Genomic DNA, 22,485 nt, shown 5'->3' with positions numbered 1-22,485 from the left:
GAAAAGTTAGAGAAAACCTAGAGGCCAGGAAGTTTATAGGCTGTTACAGTAAGCAAATCATGAGGGAACAGAGCCTAGACTAGGGCAGAGCAATGGAAACAGAGAGGGGCAGGACAGATCTGGAGATGGACCTGAAAAAAAAGCAAATGTGAAAGACCTATTGGATATGGGAGTGAAAGATGACAGGGGTTGCACTTGGGCTTGGTACAAAGGTAATAAGGAATTTGATTTTGGCATTTTGGTTAGAGGAAGGGTAAACTGGTTAATTAGCTTTCAGATGTTATTGTGTATACCCGAAGGCAGCTGGATAATACAGGAAATACATCCACTGTAGACTCTCTCTTGCCCAGGGTAGCTGGATGAGGAATGGATTTCACAAGAGAAACATGGTGTAAATATAGTAGTTAAAAGTAGTTTGCTTCTTTCTCCCTCACTGTAAAAGAGAGAACTTCCTTTGGACTATTGCATGAAGTGAGAACAATCACAACCGCCAATAGAGTATGATTTTTTTCCCTTTATAGACCCCCAAGGTAGAACTTTCTAGGTCCATATCTGGTTATGATTTGTGTTTTTCGCTGGGGTTCAGGCCTTGGCATGTGACATGTAAGCTGGTCACTCATACCTGGAGCAGCAGATGGTTGTTCCTCCCTCCCTTTTATGGCTGAGTCTGCTCTGAATCCTTAGGACTGTAAATTATTTACTCTTCATCTGACTGAATCCATTTAATATTATTTCTTAAAATACCCCTGCCTGCACTCATATTTACTTATACTTTTCTTGCCAAGATTTTCTAAATATCCTTTCTGATATTTATTTTATCAGTGGAAATACTGGCCTGACACAAATTTTGAAGTAAATTGTGAAGCATAGGATCATCTTTAGTCAGCCCAATGGGATTTTTAAGTACCACTGTCCCTCTCCCTTGGGGGAGTCTTGTACCACAAACAATGGTGTGAGATCCTGCTTTCCATCAAGAGTTTATTGGTTAATGAAGCTTGTGGCTGGTGTGGTTTTCCTGTGTTTAGCTTTTGGAGCTCTCAGAAACAGTTGCTTGGAAGAGAGCTGGCAGAATTATTGCCCAGCAAACTTGCCGGCCACAGCCCACAAGACTTCACCAACGCTGACAAATTTTATGGCTGATTTAATGAATAGAACAAGTATTTGAATAAACAGAGTAAAGAGCTGTTGGCATCCTGCTCCATCGTCTGAAGAGGTCTGAAAGTCTTCTCATTAAACCATCCTTACTATCTCCTTTTGCTCTAAGCCGCGTTGCCTTTTCTCAAGTGCCTGAACAGGAACTCATGGGCAACCATAGCTTTGAGATGAGGTCATTGGGATGGATCCTCGGGACTTAGTGCCCCTAATTTTAATTGAAAGGGAACTCTTTCAATTAAAACCTACAGGAACCAAATATGACCTAATTCTACTTTACTTTAGCATTCCAGGCCTTTAAGTTACTTACCCACTCTTAGAACAATAATTTGTACAGTTTTTTGTGTAAACCTTTGAAAAAAGGTTTGAAAATTTGAAAAAGGACTCATTCTTTAACACATTTAAGATTCATACCACCTCTATGAGTTAATGTATCAATTAGCTGTCACCATGTAACAACCCACTCCAAAACCCAGTGGCTTCAGACAATTACTTCTCACCAGTCTGCGGGTTTGCTGGGCATCAGTCAGTCTGGACTGGGCTCAGTCATTAGTCCAGGTTACCTGATCTAGGCTGGGAGTGGCTCTGCTGCATGTGTTCCTCCTTCTCTTCCTAGGACCAGTGGGCTTGCCTGGGCAGATTCTTTTCATGGTTACAGCTGACATGCAAGAGCAAACAAAAACATAGAATGCCTCTTAAAGCATAAGCTTGTAACTGGCTCACTGTTTTCTTCCATATCATCCTATCTGCTAAAGCAAGTTACATGATTGAACCCAGAGTCAATGAATGGGAAATATACTCCACCTCTTTTATGGAAGGAATGAGCCAAATGACATGGATAGAGTAGGGGGCAAAGAATTGGGGGCAGTAATGCAATTTGCCACACTTAGAAGGGGCAGGTATGACAGTTTCCATTTTACAGATGAGAAACCTGAGACTCAGAAAGCTGAAATTATTTGTTCAAGGTAACACAGAAAATTTGGACAGTGCTGGAATGCAAACCCTACTCTCAAGACTTCTCTGCTTTTTGCCACACTGAATTCCAAGATTCCATAAGAGGCTGTATGAACTAGTTAAAGGCCCATGGCTCCAAAGGACAACTCCAAGGATGACTCCTTGTGGCCTGCTCCTTTTTTCTTTTTATCTTATGTCCCTGGGTTTTGGCCCATTTGCCTCCTTCATAGTTGTCACCTACTCTTCCATTTGAACCTGTTTGAGGTAGGGGTTGGTTAAAGTTCCCCTACTAAAACACAAATTCTTCCACCCCTGAAACATACATACCAGTCTCTCTATTTTTAATAAAAATTGATTTTTAAAAGAAAATCCAAACGTCACATGATAATTGAACCAGAATGGCCTCAAACACCAAAATACTATAGTTCTTTGAAGAATGGGAGTATTGTAATCATCTGAAATGTGTCAACATGCTTATTACTGACACTGAGCTTCACTTAAATGTTAATAGGTCTGAGCTAGTTTTCTGTTAGCCCTTCCCTGACTGCCTTTGTAGAGTTCCTTCAATGGCCCTTGAATTGTGAATCTGCCCCATCCTGCCCAGTCTGGTCTGAGTCAAATTTTAGACCGAGTTGCTCAAATCTAGCTTGAAAAGATTTGAGCTAGTATCTCTGAGATCTCAAGTCATTATCTGTGAGATTTTTTCAGGTGTGAGTCTCCATGGCAACTCTATGCCTCTGGTTTTCAGTACATTTGCACTCTTAAATCTGGCCTCCAGCATCCTACAGGTAGAAAATATCATTGGATCTTAAATTTACCTCCTCTAGGTTTCCAGCTGATCTGCACTGACAGTGTGCTTTGCTCTCACGAACCTTCTAGACAAATGTCCTCATGAGTGCAGGCTCCGAAAGTCCCTTCCTTTTCATTGGCACAGTTTGCTTTCCTGATCTATTATTTTTTTTTTGTCTGCAGCACAACTTGCAGCTACTGAATGATATGGCTGGCCGGCTCTACCATTTCAGTGAGGTTCTGCCTAATCTCTTTTGATTCTAAGGGGTAATGTGGCTCAGCCACAGCAAGGAGGCTGAGTTCTGATGTTCTCTTTCCCCATACTTCTATGGAAGACTGGAAGACAGATTACTTGCAGTGATTTCTGGAGGCAGAAGATAAGCAAGTGGCCTCTATGATGGTAGAACCAAGAAAGAATGATCATTGCCCTTAAGCCTTCAGAGATGACAGCTAAATCCAGAGGGAAAATAAATAGGGATAAGATTGTAAAAAAAGTTGCTGCTGGAGAAAAAATAGCTGCTGCTGATAAAGAACCTCAATAAATTCAAACAATGTCTGCGTTTGGCCCTCAAATGTCATGCTGGCTCATTGCTCGGGAGAAAGAGCCGTACAACTACCATGTCAGAGGAGATGAGGAAGCAAAGAAGTCTGACTAAGGGCACTGCCATGGATATTCTTGCCCCTGCTTTGGAACAATCTATCATTGGATTGTGGAGAGGAAGCAAGGAGGCAGCTGGCAGTGTGACACCACGTGCTATGACTCATGACTGTTTTGCCTGATGGTTGGCAACATAGTATTGGCACAGTTGTGGGCTCTAGAGTACCTGGGCCTGAATCTCTATTGATATGTGCCATTTGGCAAATTTCTAAACTCTAAGTCTTAGCTGTCTCATATACAAAATGGGCATAATACATCCTCCCTCATATGGTTGTTGTGAGGATTAATAAAACAGTGTTTATAAAGTGCTTGGCACAGTGCTGAACACATAGCAGTAAATAAATATTAGTCATTATTAATATTAGCTGATGCACATTTGGGGGCAATTTCAAGAAAGAATTGATTACAATAGTAAATTCAGACTATGGCATCTATTGATTGTTCCTTTTTAAATGAACCATTTTAAATACAGTAAAAGCCCTCCTCCCTGGCCTCTGCTTAACTTCCTTTATGGAGTAAGTCGATGTTTTTCCTTCCTATTGGAATATACACTGGCCAATGCTCAGGGCACAATGGAAGCTCATGGGCAGGTAAGTTACTTCTGGTGAACACTTATATTTCTGCTTCCACACAACAAGTTGATCACTTACCAAAAGTTAGCTGTGTTTTTGCCAAGCCCATTTATGGCAGTTGTACTCGTTATTACAAGTAGGTAATTTAATGTAAATTTGTGAAATATGAGTATAAAAAGAAAACTATTATTTTCATGAAAACTAAGTTCAATGCTTTGGAAAGACTTACTAAAGAAAAGTTGCTTTTGAAAACTGCCATATTGTTAAAAATAAAACAAAACTGAAAGTGGAAATCAAATGTGATGCATTAGGAATGTAACTTACGTGAAAAAGAGTCTGTGAAATCCCAGGGTGTGGCCTCACGCTCAAAGAAAAGGCCTTGGCCTTACAACACATCACCAGAGTGGTGAATGAATGTACCTTTGTGTGTTTTAGGTTGAAATAAAATGTTTTATGTATGTATATACATGTGTGTATGTATGTACATGTGTGTCTGTATTGTTTTATATGATTCCTCACTTTAACAAATTATCACTTACTCTAAGGGCTATTCAAGAAAGCTTCTACTGTATAGTCAATGTTCTATGTTAAGTACTTTACGTGCTGTGGGCTTACAAGAAGGGAGCACAGTCCAGTAGAATGTATTTACCGATTTATGGATTGGAGCTTGTGGTAGGCAGAATAATGCTTCCCCTTCTCAAAGATGTCCACATTCCTAATCCCCAGAACCTGGAGATATATCATGTTATTGGCAGGGGGCAATTAAGGTTGCAGATGGAATTAAGGTTGCTAATCAGATAAACTTGAGTTGAGGAGATTATCCTGGATCATCTGGATGGTCCCAATGTAATCACAAGGGTGCTTATAAGTGGAGGAGGTAAGCTGAAGACAGTGTGTCAGAATGGTGTTAGGTGACAAAGACTTACCCTGATGGTGCTGGCTTTGAAAATGGAGGAAGAGGCCACAAGTCAAGGGATACAGGCAGGCCCTAGAAGCTAGAAAATACAAAGGAATGGATTTCCCCCTAGGGCCTCCAAAAAGAAATGCCATTCTGCCAATAGCTTGACTTTAGCCCAGCGACATCCATTTCAGACTTGTGACCTAAAGAATAGTAAGATAATAAATAAATTTCTTTTGTCTGGTTTTAAGCCCAGGTTTGTGATAATTTGTTATAGCAGCAATAGGAAGCTAATACAGAGGTTGAGTCAAGTTGATGACAAAAAATCCTATCCCTAAATCCCTATTCCAAATGTACTCACAGGATATCTAGGCTCTTCATGCTTTCACATGCCCTAAACATAGGATTTACACTAATATCTGGGTCTAATCTTAGTAGCACCATGTTCATTAAGTCCATACCATTTGCCAGGCAATATGCTAAATGCTTCAGCAAATTATTGTTATATGCTGTTTATAGTAATGCTTAAATATATTCTGTTTCAGAATTCTATACTTACATATTATATGCTATTTATAGCATATAACAAATTACCACCAATGAACAAATTACCATTAGTGAACAGCATAGACATAGGGCATGTCTTTATTGAGCTTTCAGGTTTTGCCCAAGTACACGTTTTGAAATGAGAAAGATAATAGTGAAAATAGCCTGAATATCTTTATATTTCAGGAAAGATAATAGTGAAAATAGCCGCAATACCTTTATATTTCAGGACTGAGGAACACCTGCAGTGTTTGGGGGTTTTTTGATCTTTTGTAAAACAGAAGATTTAAGCATTACTAGCTCCATTCTTCCTTTAGTCCTTTCCCTCAGTTGGCCTGTGATTGTGACTCTGGCATCTGCTCTTTCACCTATTTCCCCATCCCACCAAGTGATTTTCTGAAATTCTGTCAGCACAGTCTTCCAACATCAAAATAGCAGCAAAACAGATATTTCCACCAAGGAAAAGGAAGCACTCTTCCCTCATGCTCTATCTTCCCAAGGTTCATTTTAAGCCAAGTTCACTTCAAGCTTTCCACTGCACTCATATATTTTCTTGCATTCAAAATAAACCACCTCATCAAACCAAAGTCTCTCCCAGTTATCAAATGCAGCTTATGTCTGCCTCCAAGGATGCCCTCCCCAGCCCTAGCTGCTCACCTTTGCCTCTATAGTACATATAGTTCTGAGTCATGCATTAATATCCCTTATTATTTACTGTGTTGTTTTGTTCTGTTTTTTTTTATGTATGTCATCTGCATTTTGACATTTTCCTGACCAGATATCCCTTCAGTGGTTTCCCACTTCCTTCAGGATAAAGTCCAAACTCTTCATCATAGCACTCTAGGTCTTCATGATCTGGTAGCCCTGTCTTTCTCTTCCAACTTCATCCCGTGCCATTATCTCTCTCTCTATCCTCAGCAGCCATTCTGATATCTTCAAACATTGCCATGTTCTCTTTATCCTCTGGACCTTGAACACACTATTTCGTCTTCCTGAAATAGTGTTTCATCAACTGTTTCTTTGTCCACTCCCACCTCTACCCTCTCCACTTGGCTTCCTCACCCAACAGTTCACAACTTGAATATGACTTACTGTAAAAGTTACCCTTGTATTAGACCTCCTTAGATACTAGCCTCCCTCAGACACGTAATCCCTTAGCACCATGTATCTTTGCAGCCCCAGGCATTTATTTGTAGTACTTAATAACTTGTAATTATTTAGAGTTTTTGTCTTCCTCTAGATATAAGTTCCATGTTTGTCAAAAAAAAAAACTGAATAGGTGAATGAATCAATGAATTAATAGTCTTTTAGTCACAAGTTTTTAAATTGTTTGCTGTCACTCTCCTCCAACTAGAATGCCTGATTTTCAAACCCAAACCCAATTATGATTCTTTAGATCCAGAATCTGCATTTTAACAAGCCCCCCCTAGATCATTATGATGCTGAATGTCCAGGAATCATCTTTTGAAGAAGGCTAATATGGATTTTGAATGGGATGTCAAAGCAGTATAGGGACCTCTCAAATAATAATATCAAGTACCACTGATGGTTACTGTTTGTTTGCCAGGTACTGATCTAAGAAGCTTTATAGAAAGACATTACCTAATTTAATCCTTTCTTCTAGCCTATGAGGAAGGTACTATTGTAATCCCCTATTTTGTAGATAAGAAAGCTGAGGTTAAGAGAGGTTAAGTAATTTGCTCAGTGTCACACAGCTAGTAAGTGATGGAGTGATTCAACATATTCTGCCTCCAAAGCCCATGCTCTTTCCCTTAATTCTAGGCTGCTTGTTCCTCACAGAGTTTTCCTCATTTGCAGACTTCAGGATCCTTGGCATGCTTAATGTGCACTTACCTCTCCAGTCCTATTAGAATTACGATCTGTTGCCTTTAAAGATGCTTCTTTGTAGGTTACCAAGAGGCAAAAACTCTGTCTCCCTGCAGTTCTTTGTTCTGCACTTGTTGAAACAACAGGCCCCAGGGAAAGAAGCCCTTTTTTAGAAGAAAAAAACCATGTTCTTTCTTCTTTCCCCACATACCATATTAATTATCAAGTACAGAAGAAACTGCTGAAACTTCTGGCTCACTTGGCTCTTCTCCTCCAAAGCAGGAAGTAGCACAGCAAGAGACAAGTTTAATTCTGAAGCTCAAGCGCTCTCCTGCATACCATGGCCTAGGAGAAAGGTTCAGTGAACTCGGTATTAGTCCATGATAAGACAGGCTTCTATAAGGTAGAATGTTTATGGAAAATAGATTGGGATATACAAACAAGAACATAGAGGATCCCATCAGGGATTTGAGGTAAACATTAAGTGAACTCCTTTCATGTTTGGCCTTTCCTGTACACTTGGTGTTAGGAGGTCTTACAGAGGTCCTCTGTTAACCCAATATGTATACAGTAGATAAATTACTCTGCATAAAGCTTTCTACTTTTAACAGAAGCTGGGACTGAAAGTGCTTCACTGGGTAGTAGAGGTAGCTAGATGATAGATCTCTCTATTGCACCCACCTCCGGCTTTTACCTTCTCCTACTTCAGAACAGTGTCCTGGCAGACAATAATCTCGACATTTAAGTACTATCCCTAGAAACAAAACCCAGGAAGGACTCTCTAGAAGTCATTAACTTTCTGCCAGACTGGATCGAAGATAAAGATAGCAAATAGTAGTTGTATGCCCACTCAATGCATGGGAGTGGCTGCCTAGGACAATATAGTGAGAAGAATTATGAGGCCACATATGGGCACTATAGGGATTGATTATTGATGTCTGCCATGGACATGAAAACACGGAGGGTCAGCAAACAGGCTACCTTTTATCCATCCTTGCACCAAGCCAGTGGCTCCCAAACCTAATTGCACATAGAATTACTGAGAGCTATTTAAAAATATTGATACCTGGGATCTACCCCCAAACTAATTAAATTAAATTATCTGGAGGTGAGATTCAAGCAATCAGGCATTGGAGCAACAAAGGTTGAGAGCCACTGCTGTGCACAGTTGTAGACATACAGATGACTTAATTCAGTAGTTACCAAATGCATTTCTTCCAATCAGGACCTGCCAGGATGGCTTCATAAGAATTATGTGAGGAGCTTGTAAAATTGTGGATTCCTGGGACCAACTCCTAAAAATTCTAATTTGGAAGTATGGGGGTAGAATACAAGAATCTGTATTTTTTAAAACCACACAGGAAGATGTTGATGGGAACCACGGTCCTAAGCTATTCTCAATGCCTCAAATGAATGAGAACTTTGAGCAGAACCTTGTACTCTAGGACAAAAGTTTTCAACCCTAACTGTACATTGGTATCCCCTTGGAAACTTTTTTAAAACACCAATGCCTAAGTTCATCAATTAAATTGGAATCTCTAGGGTGGAATCTGGATGATTCGAATGTGTAGGTAAAACTGAGAATCACTGGTCTAAGAAGTGGAGCACAGGAATCTCATTTGGGGACCTCATCAGAAAGATTTTATTGTTCTTTGTCTATAGATTTAGTCCCTGAGTTAGTCTAGTAGCTTCAGCTTGATATTAGATGGTAGAACTGCTTCTGTTCCCTGAACCTTGTTTACAACCAGAATCTGTCATTCATGATGTTTGTGGTGGTCTCATGAATTATCCTGGACTTAGTAAACATTGGCTGCAATCACTCACCCATGCTTTTAAACAAATGGTTATGGAATGTACCTTAATGTTTGTGAAATGTAGATTCCAATATCTTCTACTAGTCTAAAGAAAGGTTTTTGATGAGGGTTTGTTTATTTTTAAAAAAATAATCAAATGAAATGTAGGACAACTGATGGTCTTAAGAGACAGAGGCTTTGTAAAGACAAAGTTGTATTTAAACTTGGAATCTTGCAAGGCCCATCAACTATGAATTAGTAGGGGCAAATAGACATCTTAACCACCAATCCGTGATTGGTCCTACTGGTCTCTTTTGAAGCAACTGGTAAAGATATAATTTCTTTCTCTTAGAAGCTTTGCCTGTATGTTTATTTGCCTCACATTAGTCGTGTAAGACAGCCAGACAACCTCAGACAATCAGCCTTGCATGGATGGTCATGAAGTGGTGAGACTGGTAGAGTTCAGCAGGACTCTCCTTCTTCTTCAAAATGCATTTTTAAAAAATTACACCCAGTTTTTTCACTTATGCTTGAATTTCCACCATTAGTGATTAATGTATTTGGTTTAAACATTCCCTCTTCAGATTACTGTTTCTAAATATAAACAGAAATAACACATTAAGTCCCTCCAATACTCTCAGGAAGGAAGAGCCATGACTGTCTTGGAGGACCTCACAAATACAGCCTGAGGTTGAGAGGACCAGCTCTTCATGTTAATGCAAGAATTCAAGGGTCAATCCTAAGGAGCAATGGGAGGACAGTGAACTAGGGCCTATTCATCTCTCTAGCCCCAATGTCTTACATTAGCACCTGGTTCAGAGTAGTGGAAGGAATGGCAGCCAAAGAAAATATACCATCTTAGAACTGCCATGAGAAATTTTGAATCCAGCCTTGGACTCATCCAAATGAGACCCAGCAGCTGAACCTCCAGAAGACAGCCTCACCAGCCTTGTAAACAAGATCATTTCCTTTACCCCCATGGAAAACAGGACCCAACAAATCCCTTGCTGATGCAATACCACATGTTGTAAGAATAAACCATTGTGTTTTTGCCAAGAGTTGGTTATCCAGTGACTAATGTGTTCCTATACATTTACACTCACTGCAGAGTATCCTGGGACATGTTTATAGTTAAGAAAGGTTAGTATTAACATTGTGTCAGAGGATTAATCCATTTTAATTGTAAATGCCAAGAACAAACCTGCTTCCTTGGGGCCCAGATGTATGACTTTGGTTAAATATTTATAGATCAGATGGAATGTTTACTCTTAATTCTGGAGCTAGGTATTTACTTGCATAATTACATACTCCTCCCCTGCCTCCTCTTGATCCAGTGTCCTCCTGATATTTTCTCTCTGAAATACAAGTGTGTTGTGGGAGATGATGAAAACATCTGGCCAATGGTTTAGAGCTACTGATACTGGTGAGAGGTGACTGTGGGATAGTAGAGTAACTAGGAAAATGCTCTATGTATATAACCAGGATCATGGAATGAGCAGGGGCCACAGAAGCAGGAAAGCTGGATTCTAGTTCCAACTCTACTGGAAATTAGCTATGTGACCTTCTCTGAGCCCCATTTTCCTCATCTATAAAATGAGAGAGATGAATTCAAATTTTTAAGACTTCTTCCAGAGATGAGCCTTCATGGCAGCTTTCTCTAAACCATCTTGGAACCCCTACCCACTCCAGGTATAATACTTATGCTTTCTAGGGCAGTAACATCCAATAGAACTTTCTGCAATAAGGAAATATTCTACATTTATGGTGTGCAATACAGTAGCCTCTAGCCATATGTAGCTATTGAGCATTTAAAATGTGGCTAATGTGGCTGAGAAATTGAAATTTCATTTTGTTTTATTAATTCAAATTTAATAGCTATGCACAACTAGTGGCTACCATATAGGGCGGCACCATGCTAAATGATTAGCAATCGTGTTGGCCAGCTCCTTGAAGAAGGCCATTGTCTGTGCTAATGATGTCTTCTAATTTGGGGATGATTAAAGAGGTAGTTGAAAAATACTGCTCAGTGGGAATCCTTTTTCTCCAATGTGGAAGGTAGGATACAGTCAAATATTGTAGATGCCTTGAGGTTTTCAAAATGCACAACTCCTGAGTTTTTATTTATTCCACTAAAAAGTGGAAAGGGGTGGCAAGTCATTGAACTAATTTTCCTTTTTTTCTATCTGAAAACTGTTAATATGCTTCTAGCCACATTATGTTAAATTAGGAAAACAGTATCACCATAGGGCATTCCAAGACATACACAGCAGATTCCACAGAATCAACTTCAATCATCCCACATTAAACATTTTTCATACAAAAAAGAACGTGTTTACTGCATTAGTCCATTTTCATGCTGCTGATAAAGACTGGGCAGTTTACAAAAGAAAGAGGTTTATTGGATTCACAGTTCCTTGTGACTGGGAGGCCTCACAATCATGGCGGAAGGAAAAAGGCACATCTCACATGGTGGCAGACAAGAGAAAGACAAAGCTTGTGCAGGGAAACTCCTGTTTTAAAACCATCAGATGTCGTGAGGCTTATTCACTATCACAAGAACACCATGGGGAAGACCCGCCCCCATGATTCAATTATCTCCCACTGGGTCCCTCCCACAGCACGAGGGAATTATTGGAGCTACAATATGAGATTTGGGTGGGGACACAGAGCCAAACCATATCATTCACTTAATTTGCAAAATGTTTCTTTTCCATTTAATAGTTTGTTGATCTATTTCCCATAGCATTGATGGCAGAGAGTTATTAAACTGTCTGACTTAAAAACAGTGACAGGTCCTCATTATGCAACTCATTGAGTTGAAAATCAGCTATGGACCAGTAGATAGATGCTGTTTCTGGACTTGACTTTTCTGCTTTCAAATTTATAATAATTGTAATAATATAGAAAATAATTAGTATTATTATTAAATATTAGTATTATAGCTAAATAATTATAAGCATTTCTTATCTAGTCGAGACTTTTCTGTCATACTTTTTAGAGAGCATACGACACTCATGATAAGTTTTAGTGCATCCGAAAAAAAAATACTAAACTTTAGCTCCATAAACTGGTTAGAATGGAGGCTTCTAATTAGTATGATTCAGTTCCCAAGTGATAGTATCTATATCTGGAATGGTAAATCCATCGCACGAAAATTGTCATTTCTCACCTCTTCATTTGTCTTTGGCATTCTTTCCTGCTGAGTTTGGACGTAGCCTCAGAATTCTTAACACAGCATTTTAGGCAGCTAGCATCAAGCAGCTAGGGCATTTAAATTACAACATTTAAGATTAAAGTTATTTTCCCTCTCTAATCTTTGCAGGTGGTTGTGATCAATTTGTAAGAGATAAAAACACAATAAAATACATACAGTCCTAGAGCTGAAAGGGACCTTAGAGAGCACTCAACCTTAATCCTCTTATTTTATAGATGAGAAGAGCAAGGCTTAAAGAATAATGGGGAATTGTCCATGGTTACACAGACAGTTGGTGGCAAAAAGTGGGACTAGATTCCGGCCTCCTAACTCGGAGAGAATCCCGCAAGACACTGCCTTGAGCCCACCATGTAGTAGTACTTGTACATTAGATGTTTGGTAGATGATTATAATCACTTTTAAGTTTACTGGAAATGATTTCTGCTTGCCTGGACCATTGAGGCTAGACAGGCCTGGCTATTAAACTATGATAAACTATTTATTTGTGGGGTGGTCATATCCAAATAGATTATTTGGTGGATTTTCCCATAAGTTAGACTTACATGTTTTCCAGGCATCTGTGTCCAGTGCCACCTGATTAGAAGAAAGAAATAGCAGCCCATTAATTTAAACGATGGGATTAACTGTGGGGTCTTACTGAAAGAGGAGCTGCTTATCAGGGTCTGCTGGAATGTGTAGCTCTGATTAACAAATGCAGTTTCCATTATTATAATGAGCAACTTTCTGGATGTTTGCCTCTGTTAATGTGTTGTTCTCCACCTAATAATTTACTCCTCTTACTTACGGTCTATGCCTTCAATAGGGACTATTCTTATTCCAAAATTGTGTTTATTAAGTGTACTAACATTGATATCACTGTCAGGCAATATCTAAGAGTTTAGCCATCACAGTTTCAATAGAGAGGAGAGAATCCTGCTATTCCAGTCAGAGGCAACAGTGGGAACATAGGAGTCTTGGTTACCAGTTCTTTAAGTTGTTTTTTATGACCTAAAGTTTTGAAATGTTAAGTGATTTCTAAAGTGAGAAATACCATTATTATTTATTAAATACTATAATTACTACAAATGGACACTCAGGAGAGGAATATAATTGTGGTTAATGGCATTATCATTTAATTTGCAGGTGCATCTGTTTCTAAACAAATATTCAGTGCCTCTGTTTAGAACACATGTTTATATCCTAAGGTTTCCCCTGCTGCTGAACATTCCCACTGAAGATCAAGTTGTATTCAGGTAGTTTACCTTCCCTCCTTTTTATTTCCTTTTAACTATTTGTTGTGTCTTAAAGATTCCAATCTTGTTTTTGCAGTTGGTTCCTTATAATCCTTTAAGTAAACTAAATTTCAATGTGCTTGAAGCAGCTCAGTTTTCCAAAGTCATTAGTAAGATAGGCCTGATCCCCCAGTTTCCACTGGAAGACTCACTCTTTAGCTAAGTGACTTATACCTCTAGTTTTCATTACAAGACTGGCTTGTCTTTTGCCATATCCTGAGGTCTAGGAAGAAGTGGGTAAGACACCCAGGTTTCTTTGACAGAAAAGAGGGTGTGAGTGTCCTCTCCACCAGAGCCAAAGTGTAAAAGGTAAAGTTGTAAAAGTTTGTTTTTTTCATATCATCTCAGCTCCTCCTTTAGTCAGGCCCCAGAGTTCATCCTTAACAAGCTGTCTTCTGTTTTGCAGATCATCTCCTTTAAGCTATTGGCTCCTAAAATGTTATTTCTCCCAGAGGTGTTTTTAGCTTGGGGGAGGTCCCTCCTGAAGAGCATTATAAGTGTACACTCATAAAAAGGAAAGTCTGACTGCCAACATTAGCCCCTTCAACTTCTGACAAACATTCTTCTTTCTCGATCTTGCTGCCATTCCCTTCCCTATTTTCATATAGAATCAAAAACCTTTTGACTATTCAAAACTTAAGGTATCTTATCCCTCACTTCTATCCTTCTTTACCTCATTACCCACGCGTTACTCTTAACCTCAAATCATTCAACCATGAAATATTTCCAGAGTAAACATCTTCACTCATACAGCAAAGCATGATTGGGGAAGAACCTTTTATTAGTTTGGTACCTCTGTAGAGCAGCTTCCAAGATCGTATTAAATATGCAAGAGATCTTCCGGGGGAAGGTGACTTTGAGAGAAAAAAAGGAAGGGAGCCAGAGGAGGTGTGACTTATCCGACCACAGGGCAGGTCCAACCTCTGTGGAGGAGAGAAGGAAGGAAAGAGGTTTGGACAAGCAGAGTCTCAGATTGGAGCACAGTTCTAAGAAAGTTTCAGCCAGGCCAATAGAGTTCTGAAGCCAGAATCAGTGATCAGAGGAGTTTTCTGTCTCACAGTAATGGGTCTACCTTAGTATTCTTACCATGCACAGTCATTAGCTGAGAAATGCCCACTGGACACGTGGCCTTGGCTCAAGTGCAGTGATGGACTCAAGGGGTCAGCAACTAAGTGCATGGATCAAATATGCTCCCTAAAGCAGGAGATCCAAGCATGACTGCTACAAAACCCTAATAATCACTGGGCTTGGTTCACTGGAACATCATAATCTCCAGCTGCTACTCTAACTTAAGTATTACAAGTAAATATTATTTCACCCATGTCAATGTTGTGGCTCACAGCAAAGTTTGTTTGAATCAACCATCTCTTTCCTCAAAACCCGGTCAGTTCCTCTTTCCTTAAAACCTCTACCATCACTAAAAGCTATTACTCATGTTTTGTCATACAGGCAAAAAATTAAAACCCTCAACTTCTTGCCTTGGTTCGTCTTTCTTTGCCTTTTCCAGTTCTTTGAGAGATAACCATCCTCATTTTCCTTTGGGACCTCCAAACTACTTTCTTCCCCTCTTGTGTTTCCATAATCTTAAACTGCCTTCCTCCTTTCTGCTATTAGATGTATCCATGCTTCTTCAATCTTGCATAAACCTTCACTCTACCTCAATTTGACATCCAAATTATTTTCCTCTCATTCCACACTTGCTGCCATTGGTTCAGTATAGTGTAGTACAGTGCAGTATAGTCTAGTATACACTCAAATTTGAATAAGAAACTCAAATCTGAATCACCTGCTGGGCTTGGAAAACAAAGATTATTAGACTCCACCTCCAGAGTTTGTGATTCAGTAGGTCTCGGGGTGAGTACCTGATAATTTACATTTTTAACAAGCTCCCAAATGATGCTGATGCTCCTGGTCCAGGAACCACACTTTGAAAAGTACTGGTATGGCTGTTAAAGAGTGTGTCCTCTAGATTCAATTAGCCCAAGTTCAAATCCTGGCTCTGACTCTTAAGATGTGTGACCTTAGGCAAGTTCCTAGCCCCTCTATATCTCAGTTGCCTCATCTATAAAATAGAGATAACAATGATCCCTACCTCATAAGGTTGTGAAGATTGCATGATTTAATATACATGAAGTGCTTAGAACACTGGCACTTGCCTGACACATAATAAATGCTGTAAAGTGTTAGTTATTATTTCATTGACTCAGGATGCTAGAGCCAGTAAGAAACATTTAAGCCCATCATTCACCAAATCCAAGTCAAAATGTGCATAACTCTTGCTATATGTAGTATTTATTATTTTAATAAATGCTTTTCTTTAGGTTGGTTCTCAGGTTTACCTGAATAAATTTATTTCAGAATGAAACTGGGAATGGAAAACCAGTGTTTTGCTAATGTAAAATAAAATACATACAATACAATTAGAATACAAAAGATTTACCCGTGTGGTTTGTGTATTCCTCTTTGCAAAAACTCTGATTTCACTATATAATTCTTCTTTTTTCAAATAAGGAAACTGAGATACAGAAAAGGGACTTGCTTATGATCACAGAAAGTTGGTGGTAGAGCTGAGACTAGGTCTCCTGTCTCCCTGGCTAGTATACTTTACGTACCACCTCTTGAAGAAATGCCCCACTCCTCCCTCCTCCTGCCTTATGATGACTCCATGGCAGCTGTATCTCTAATGCTGAAGATACTTAATTTTCTATGAAGCCTTGATCATTCAACTTAATTTTGTATGTTCTGTGAAGGTATATGTTGTTATAGCACAGATGTTTTGGCTGTGGTTGATTATTGTCATAAGAGCTTGGAGTTGAAAGAGAGTCCAAATGTGCTGGCTGCTAGATCATTAGGTGGAAGTGTGAAAAATGAACATGGGCAAGCAAAGAGTCAGAGTTTGTTAACAGGGTGAGGTTGGCAGAACCAGTGACAAGAGAGGACTGAAAAACAGATTCAGGGTACGTACAGAACTTGGCTCTAAACAAAATTAGGGGAAAGAAAAGAGAAGAATGAGGAGGAAAAATGAGCCTCTGAATGCTGCATTTTTTGTGGCAGACCTTGGGCAGGCAAGGGAAAAGTATATTTTGCCACTGAGTCCCTTTATTGAACTATCTTTCTCTCATACACACAAGTTCCTTCAGCCCCCAAGGTCATCCTGACCTTCCCTTTGAGAAATGCTGCTTTACGTTTTAAAGTTACTAAAGTGTGGAGCACTAACACAGACTCTTCTAGATAATGTAGCCTCTCTCCTTGGTCCAATTCAAACAGCAGGCTATCAGAGCAGAACTTTGGAGAAAGCTCTCTTCAGGAAGTAGCCCCCCCACTTCCATTTGAGGATGCCTTTCCTTTTTTTTTTTTTTTTTTTTTTTTTTGCCCCCTGTGGGACTCAGAGTGGCTTGAGCAATCAGCAAAACTAATACTGGGGGTTCTTTGTATATTTGCTCTCAAGATGGGTAGAGCCTTCTTAAGGCTTCCAACTTTTGGAAAGCTTTCCTGGCAGATCTAGAGAAGAGTTTATACAAAACTTGGGCAGAGTTCACTTTTTCCCTGAGGCACCATTTTCCATTGTTACTTTTTTAAGATCACTATAGTTAAGAAGTTAGGATTTGCCCAGATAAGGTTAAGTAAATAAAATGTTTTACTCCACTAGTGGTTTCTCCAAACCTAACTTCTCCTCTCCTCACCTACTCCCATACCTCCACCCCAGCCACCACATTCCTGGCATGTACTCACCTCTGACCTCTATTCCATTCCACACAATTCCCCCAAGATAAGCAAAACTAATACAAGTAGGTATATTTAGAGTGCCTACTGGTATCACCACATCTATTGATGCAAGATTTAGATAAGTGTGTGAGCCATATAAAATGGACATTCCAGCCTCAAATTAATGTGCATTTAACATGTACAATTGATTGATTTCACTTTTTCTTCCCTAGGCAGCAACTCATTATTCCCACTTGCATTTTAGCAAATCAACCTGTCAAGTTGTTTGGGACTAGGAGTGTGTTGATTCAAAGTGAACCAAAAAAAAACAAAAAACAAAAAACAAAAACAAAGTGAACTACAAGAATTCCCTGATGTCAACTGCAACTGTCTAGAAGTGCTTTTGTTGAAACCCTGTTTCTGCCACCTTATGGAAGAAGATTGTAGAATGAAAGTAATTTCTCTTAAATTAAGTGTGCCCATAGGATTACAGGTATGCCACCGACATGCTCAGTAAAATCCTGATAGGCTAGAACCTTTGCTATCTGGAATGTTTGTGGCATTCCTCTTTTAGGAGGAATCATATACCATAGGAAAATGATCTAAGAAAAGATCAGGGATATAAGCCAGGAAAAAAAAAAGCAGCCTCCAGGTAGTGTCCAGGGATCCTCAGTCACTTAGTCTCCCTCCTATACCTCTTATACCTGCAGTCTCAGACAATGGAAAATAATCTACTGGAAAATAACTTGGCAACACAGCTAGTCCTCAAATAGCAAAGAAAGATTTTCTGTCATCTCCACTTGACTGTACCTTGTGAGGCAGGAAGGTTGTGTCTGACAGTTTAGAAAGATTTTCATCAATAAAAGTTTTCCCCTTAGGCCTCAGTGAACCAAACAATTCTGTAAACTTGCACGGTCTATTCTCCAAGAGGTCCCATTATATGAAAGATTCACTGTAATCTCTAACAAATGCCTTAATAAAGTAATGGGCTATCTGACAGATGGGGGCCATAGGAACCCACAAATCCTAGAATAAAATTCCCAAAGGCTTGTGAATCAAGACAGTGCCATATGCACTTAGGAAAGAACTAGGGGTTATGGATACGTTCCATCCTGTCCTGGACTCCACTGGGCTGGATGCATCCTTTATTCTTACTTGGTTCCTGGGCTTTTACATGCAAATCACCAAGTGGTATCAGTACCTACACAGGGCTCTAGGATTCTCATTTCAACAAATATCCCTCAAATATTTCTTGAACACCTAACTGGGCTGTATGGATACAAAGATGAATAAGACGTAGTCCCTGCCCTCAAGCAGCTCATTACATGGTGATAGAAGAAGACCAGGATATTAACAATCACAATTTAGAGAGGTAAATATATAAAGGTATAAACATAATGTAATGTGAACATGTTTTGTTGATTTAACAGACAGTGGGAGTATCTATAAAACTGATTATTTCCTTTGTTGATGACCACTTTGTTATTATGGGTTAAGATCAGATTTATCTGAACAATAATTTTTAAAAAGATAGATTTTTGTGTCCTACAACTTTGCTTAATTCATTTATTAGTTCTGAGAGTTTCATAGTGGAGTCTCTATGGTTTTTTTATATAAAATCATTTCATTTGCAAATAGGGATAATTTGACTTCCTCCTTTCCAATTTGGATGCTCTTTGTTTCTTTTTCTTGCCTAATTGCTTTGACTAGGAGTTCCAGTACTATGTTGAAAAGAAGTGCTAATCACAAGTGGGTATCCTTGTCTTGTTCCAGATTTTTAAGGGAAAGCTTTCAACTTTTTTTCATTCAGCATTATGCTAGCTGTGGGTTTGTCATATATGGCCTTTACTGCGTTGAGGTACATTCCTTCTATACCTAATTTGTTCACGTTTATTTTTATGAATGGATGTTATCAAATGCTTTTTGTGCATCTATTGACATGATCACATGGTTTTGTCCATCATTCTATTAATGTGGTTTATCACATTGATTCATTTGTATATGTTGAACCATCCTTGCATCCCTGGGAAGAATCCCACTTGATCATGGTGAATGATCTTTTTATGTGCTGTTGGATGTTGTTTGCTAGTATTTTGCTGAGGATTTTTGCATCTATGTACATCAGGAATGTTGGCCTGTAGTTTTCTTTTTTTATTGTGTCATTGTCTGGTTTTAATATCAGGGTAATGCTGGCCTTGTAGGAACAGTTTGGAAGAATTCCTTCCATTAACTATTTGGAATAGTTTGAGAAGAATTGGTATTAGTTCTTTAAATGGTAGAACTCAGCAGTGACACTATCAGGTCCTGAGCTTTTCTTTGATGGAGGACTTGTTTATCACAATCTTACTACTGGGTGTATATGTAAGGGAAATGAAATCAGTATGTTGAAGAGATATATCTGTACTTCCATGTTTGTTGCAGCACTATTTACAATACCCGACATATAGAATCAATCTAATTGTTCATCAAAGGTTAAATGAATTTTTAAAATGTGGTATATGTACACAACAGAATATTATTCAGCCATAAAAAAGAATGAAATTCTGTTATTTGTGACAACATGGATGAACCTAGAGGACATTATGTTAAGTGAAATAAGCCAAGCACAGAAGGGTAAATAACACATGAACTCACTCATATATGGAATCTAAATAAGTTGATCTTGTAGAAGTAGAGGGTAAAATAGTGATTACCAGAGTCTAGGGAGAGTAGGGAGAAGGGGAGAAGGACATTGGTTGGTCAATGGGTATAAACTTATAGTTAGATAGGAGGAAAAATTCTTGTCTTCTATTGCATAGTAGGGTGACTACAGTTAACAATAGTGTATTGTATATTTCAAAATAGCTAGAAAAAAGGATTTTGAATGCTCTTACCAAAAAGAAATGACAAGTGTTGAAGGGGATGGATATGCTAAGTACCCTAATTTGATCATTAAATAATGTATACATGATTGAAACATCACACTGTACCCCATAAATATGCACAATTATTATGTGCCAATTAAAAACAAAACTTTTAAAAAAGGCAAGTAGAAAAAGAAAAAGAAACATAATTCGTCATAACCATACACTGTAGAATATATATTGACCAGCATAAAACTTGTTGCAAAATATGTTTGGCATGGAAATTTATGTTTGTGCCTTTATTTACTCTATAACATTACTTTTGTTTATCTGTCTCTCCTCCTATAATGTAAGCTACTTAAGGGTAGGGAATTTTGTCTATTTCATTCACTGTTGTATCTACAGAGGCAGTAAATGTATAATAAATATTTGTTGAACAGATGAGCAAATATGAATAATTTAAAATTATGATAAGTACTATGAAAGAAGTTAACATATACGATTAGAGATTATAACAAGGGGATCTGATGTAGACTGGGGAAACAGTTTAGGCCTCTCTGAGGAAGAGACATTTAGGCAGAGACATGAGAGAGAGAGAAGGAGTTAGCCAAGACAATCAGACAACAGACAGCTCACATCTGGCTTGCAAAGGTCTCTGGAAATCTGATGATGTTTGGTTTCAAATGACTCACATTTGCAGGCTACTTGGTTGATACATTAGGGAATCAGTTTGATTGACATATTAGGGAATCAGTTTGATTGATAGCAATTTTTGTGTTTTTCCTGTTCAAAAGATGTTTTCATTCTCCCATCTATATCTAAATCTTTGGGTTTAAAGCCAAGGAAACAAAGTTCAGACTCAAGTTTCCCTCCTGCCTCAGTCCGCATGTGGAATCCTGAGTTAGACTTAGCTCTGTGCATTTGGCCCCTTGAAACTCCCCTGTGACCCGTTTCTGGCTAGCACCTCAGCTCAGAAGGCTCTTATTTCTTGGTTTGCCTGGCAAGAGATGGGTTCACCATCTGGAGTCAAAAAAACAGCCTGCCAGCCACTGAACAGTTCAGCCTAGGCCCCGGACAATGAGAATCAGGCAATAGCCAATTCCTTGTCTGCAATTTGCTGATTATCACACCCCAGGGTGTGGGATTGTACAGCCAGGACTGCTTTGCTCTGCCTCTCATCAAGGCAGAATGAACACAGATCCTGACAGGTCAAATCTTCCCCCAGACCTCAGAGGTTGCTGTACAAAGGACCAGGCTTAATCTCTGGCCAAGTGTATAATTCATTTATCTGCACGGTCATGAATTCTGGGCTCTCAGAATTCTGGGCTCTCAGGGCAGGAAGCATGGGGCATTGTGACTGGTTCTACAGGCCCAGGGAGTCACTTAAGCCTTGATTGTATTGTGGAGGGAGGGATTTTCGAGACAAAGGGCCCTGTCCTCCCGAGATTGAGCAGATTTGAAGGGGAGCCTATGCACACAAAGGAATGGTGCTTTAGGGAGAGGTTGACAGCCTTGTCATCAATGTCCATGAACTTCTCTAGATCATCTAAGTGATGACAAGGGGGCTAGAATTAATTATTTCATAGACTTTGGCCAAGAGGAATTGAGATAAATAAAGAGTTCATCTCAGGATGTTTGCCCGATGCTCATTCGCCACTTTGTAGTGGAGGGAAGTTTTAAACACCGAGAAACGTTTTCTCACTCGGCCCCTTCTCAGAAACTTGTTGGGGGTCTTAATCTTTGCCTCCAGCTTTCAGAGCTCCTTTACTACCACCAGAAAGACTTGAAGTAAAAGGCAGTACTCTATAGAGAACAGCTACATTAAAGCGAATTGGAAATTGTTTAGAAATTTATAGTTTCCCAACTTGGCCAGCTGTTTTGCTTTCTCTGATCCTCCAGACTTCCTGCTGAACAGAGATGGGACTTGGATGCCATTCTGTGTTCCTGGAGTTTCGTTTGCACAGTTCCACAGCCTGAGGGGGGTTGACCCATTGCAATAAATCCAGCTTCAGATTAGTTATTTGGATTTTGAAGTATTTCAAGCTCCGTGTCCCTCATGTCACTTCACTGCAACCTACCTTGAACTTTGCAATGGAAGACATTTTAATCATGGATTGTATATTATACAACTGCAGACTCCTGAAAGGGAGGAAGTGGATGTTGTGGAAGGCAGATAGCGCTGGAGAGGAATGGAGAGAACAGAGGCTCTAGTGCTTACTCTTACCTCGGACAGACATTTCACCTCTTTGTGTGGTTAAAAAAA

At 39.2% G+C, this 22,485-nt stretch overlaps 1 protein-coding gene across 15 annotated transcripts in view, besides 1 other annotated feature; it reads left to right on the top strand.

Annotated features, from left to right (window-relative positions):
* COL4A6 (collagen type IV alpha 6 chain) overlaps positions 1 to 22,485 on the top strand; it is a 283,845-nt gene that overhangs the window by 167,228 nt on the left and 94,132 nt on the right. The gene's annotated exons all lie outside the window — the stretch shown is intronic.
* Positions 803 to 2,002: an enhancer, noted in NCBI's record as "BRD4-independent group 4 enhancer chrX:107513459-107514658 (GRCh37/hg19 assembly coordinates)". NCBI's record gives its function as "activates an origin of replication core promoter dependent on BRD2, P300/CBP, MED14 and CDK7 cofactors, and independent of BRD4, by STARR-seq in HCT116 cells {active_cell/tissue: HCT116}" and the evidence as "EXISTENCE:reporter gene assay evidence [ECO:0000049][PMID:35650434]".

Source organism: Homo sapiens, chromosome X (assembly GCF_000001405.40).
Source record: "Homo sapiens chromosome X, GRCh38.p14 Primary Assembly".
In the NCBI taxonomy this organism is placed as follows: domain Eukaryota; kingdom Metazoa; phylum Chordata; class Mammalia; order Primates; family Hominidae; genus Homo; species Homo sapiens.
The sequence above is the reverse complement of the archived record's forward strand: the minus strand, read 5'-3'. Positions and strand labels throughout refer to the sequence as shown.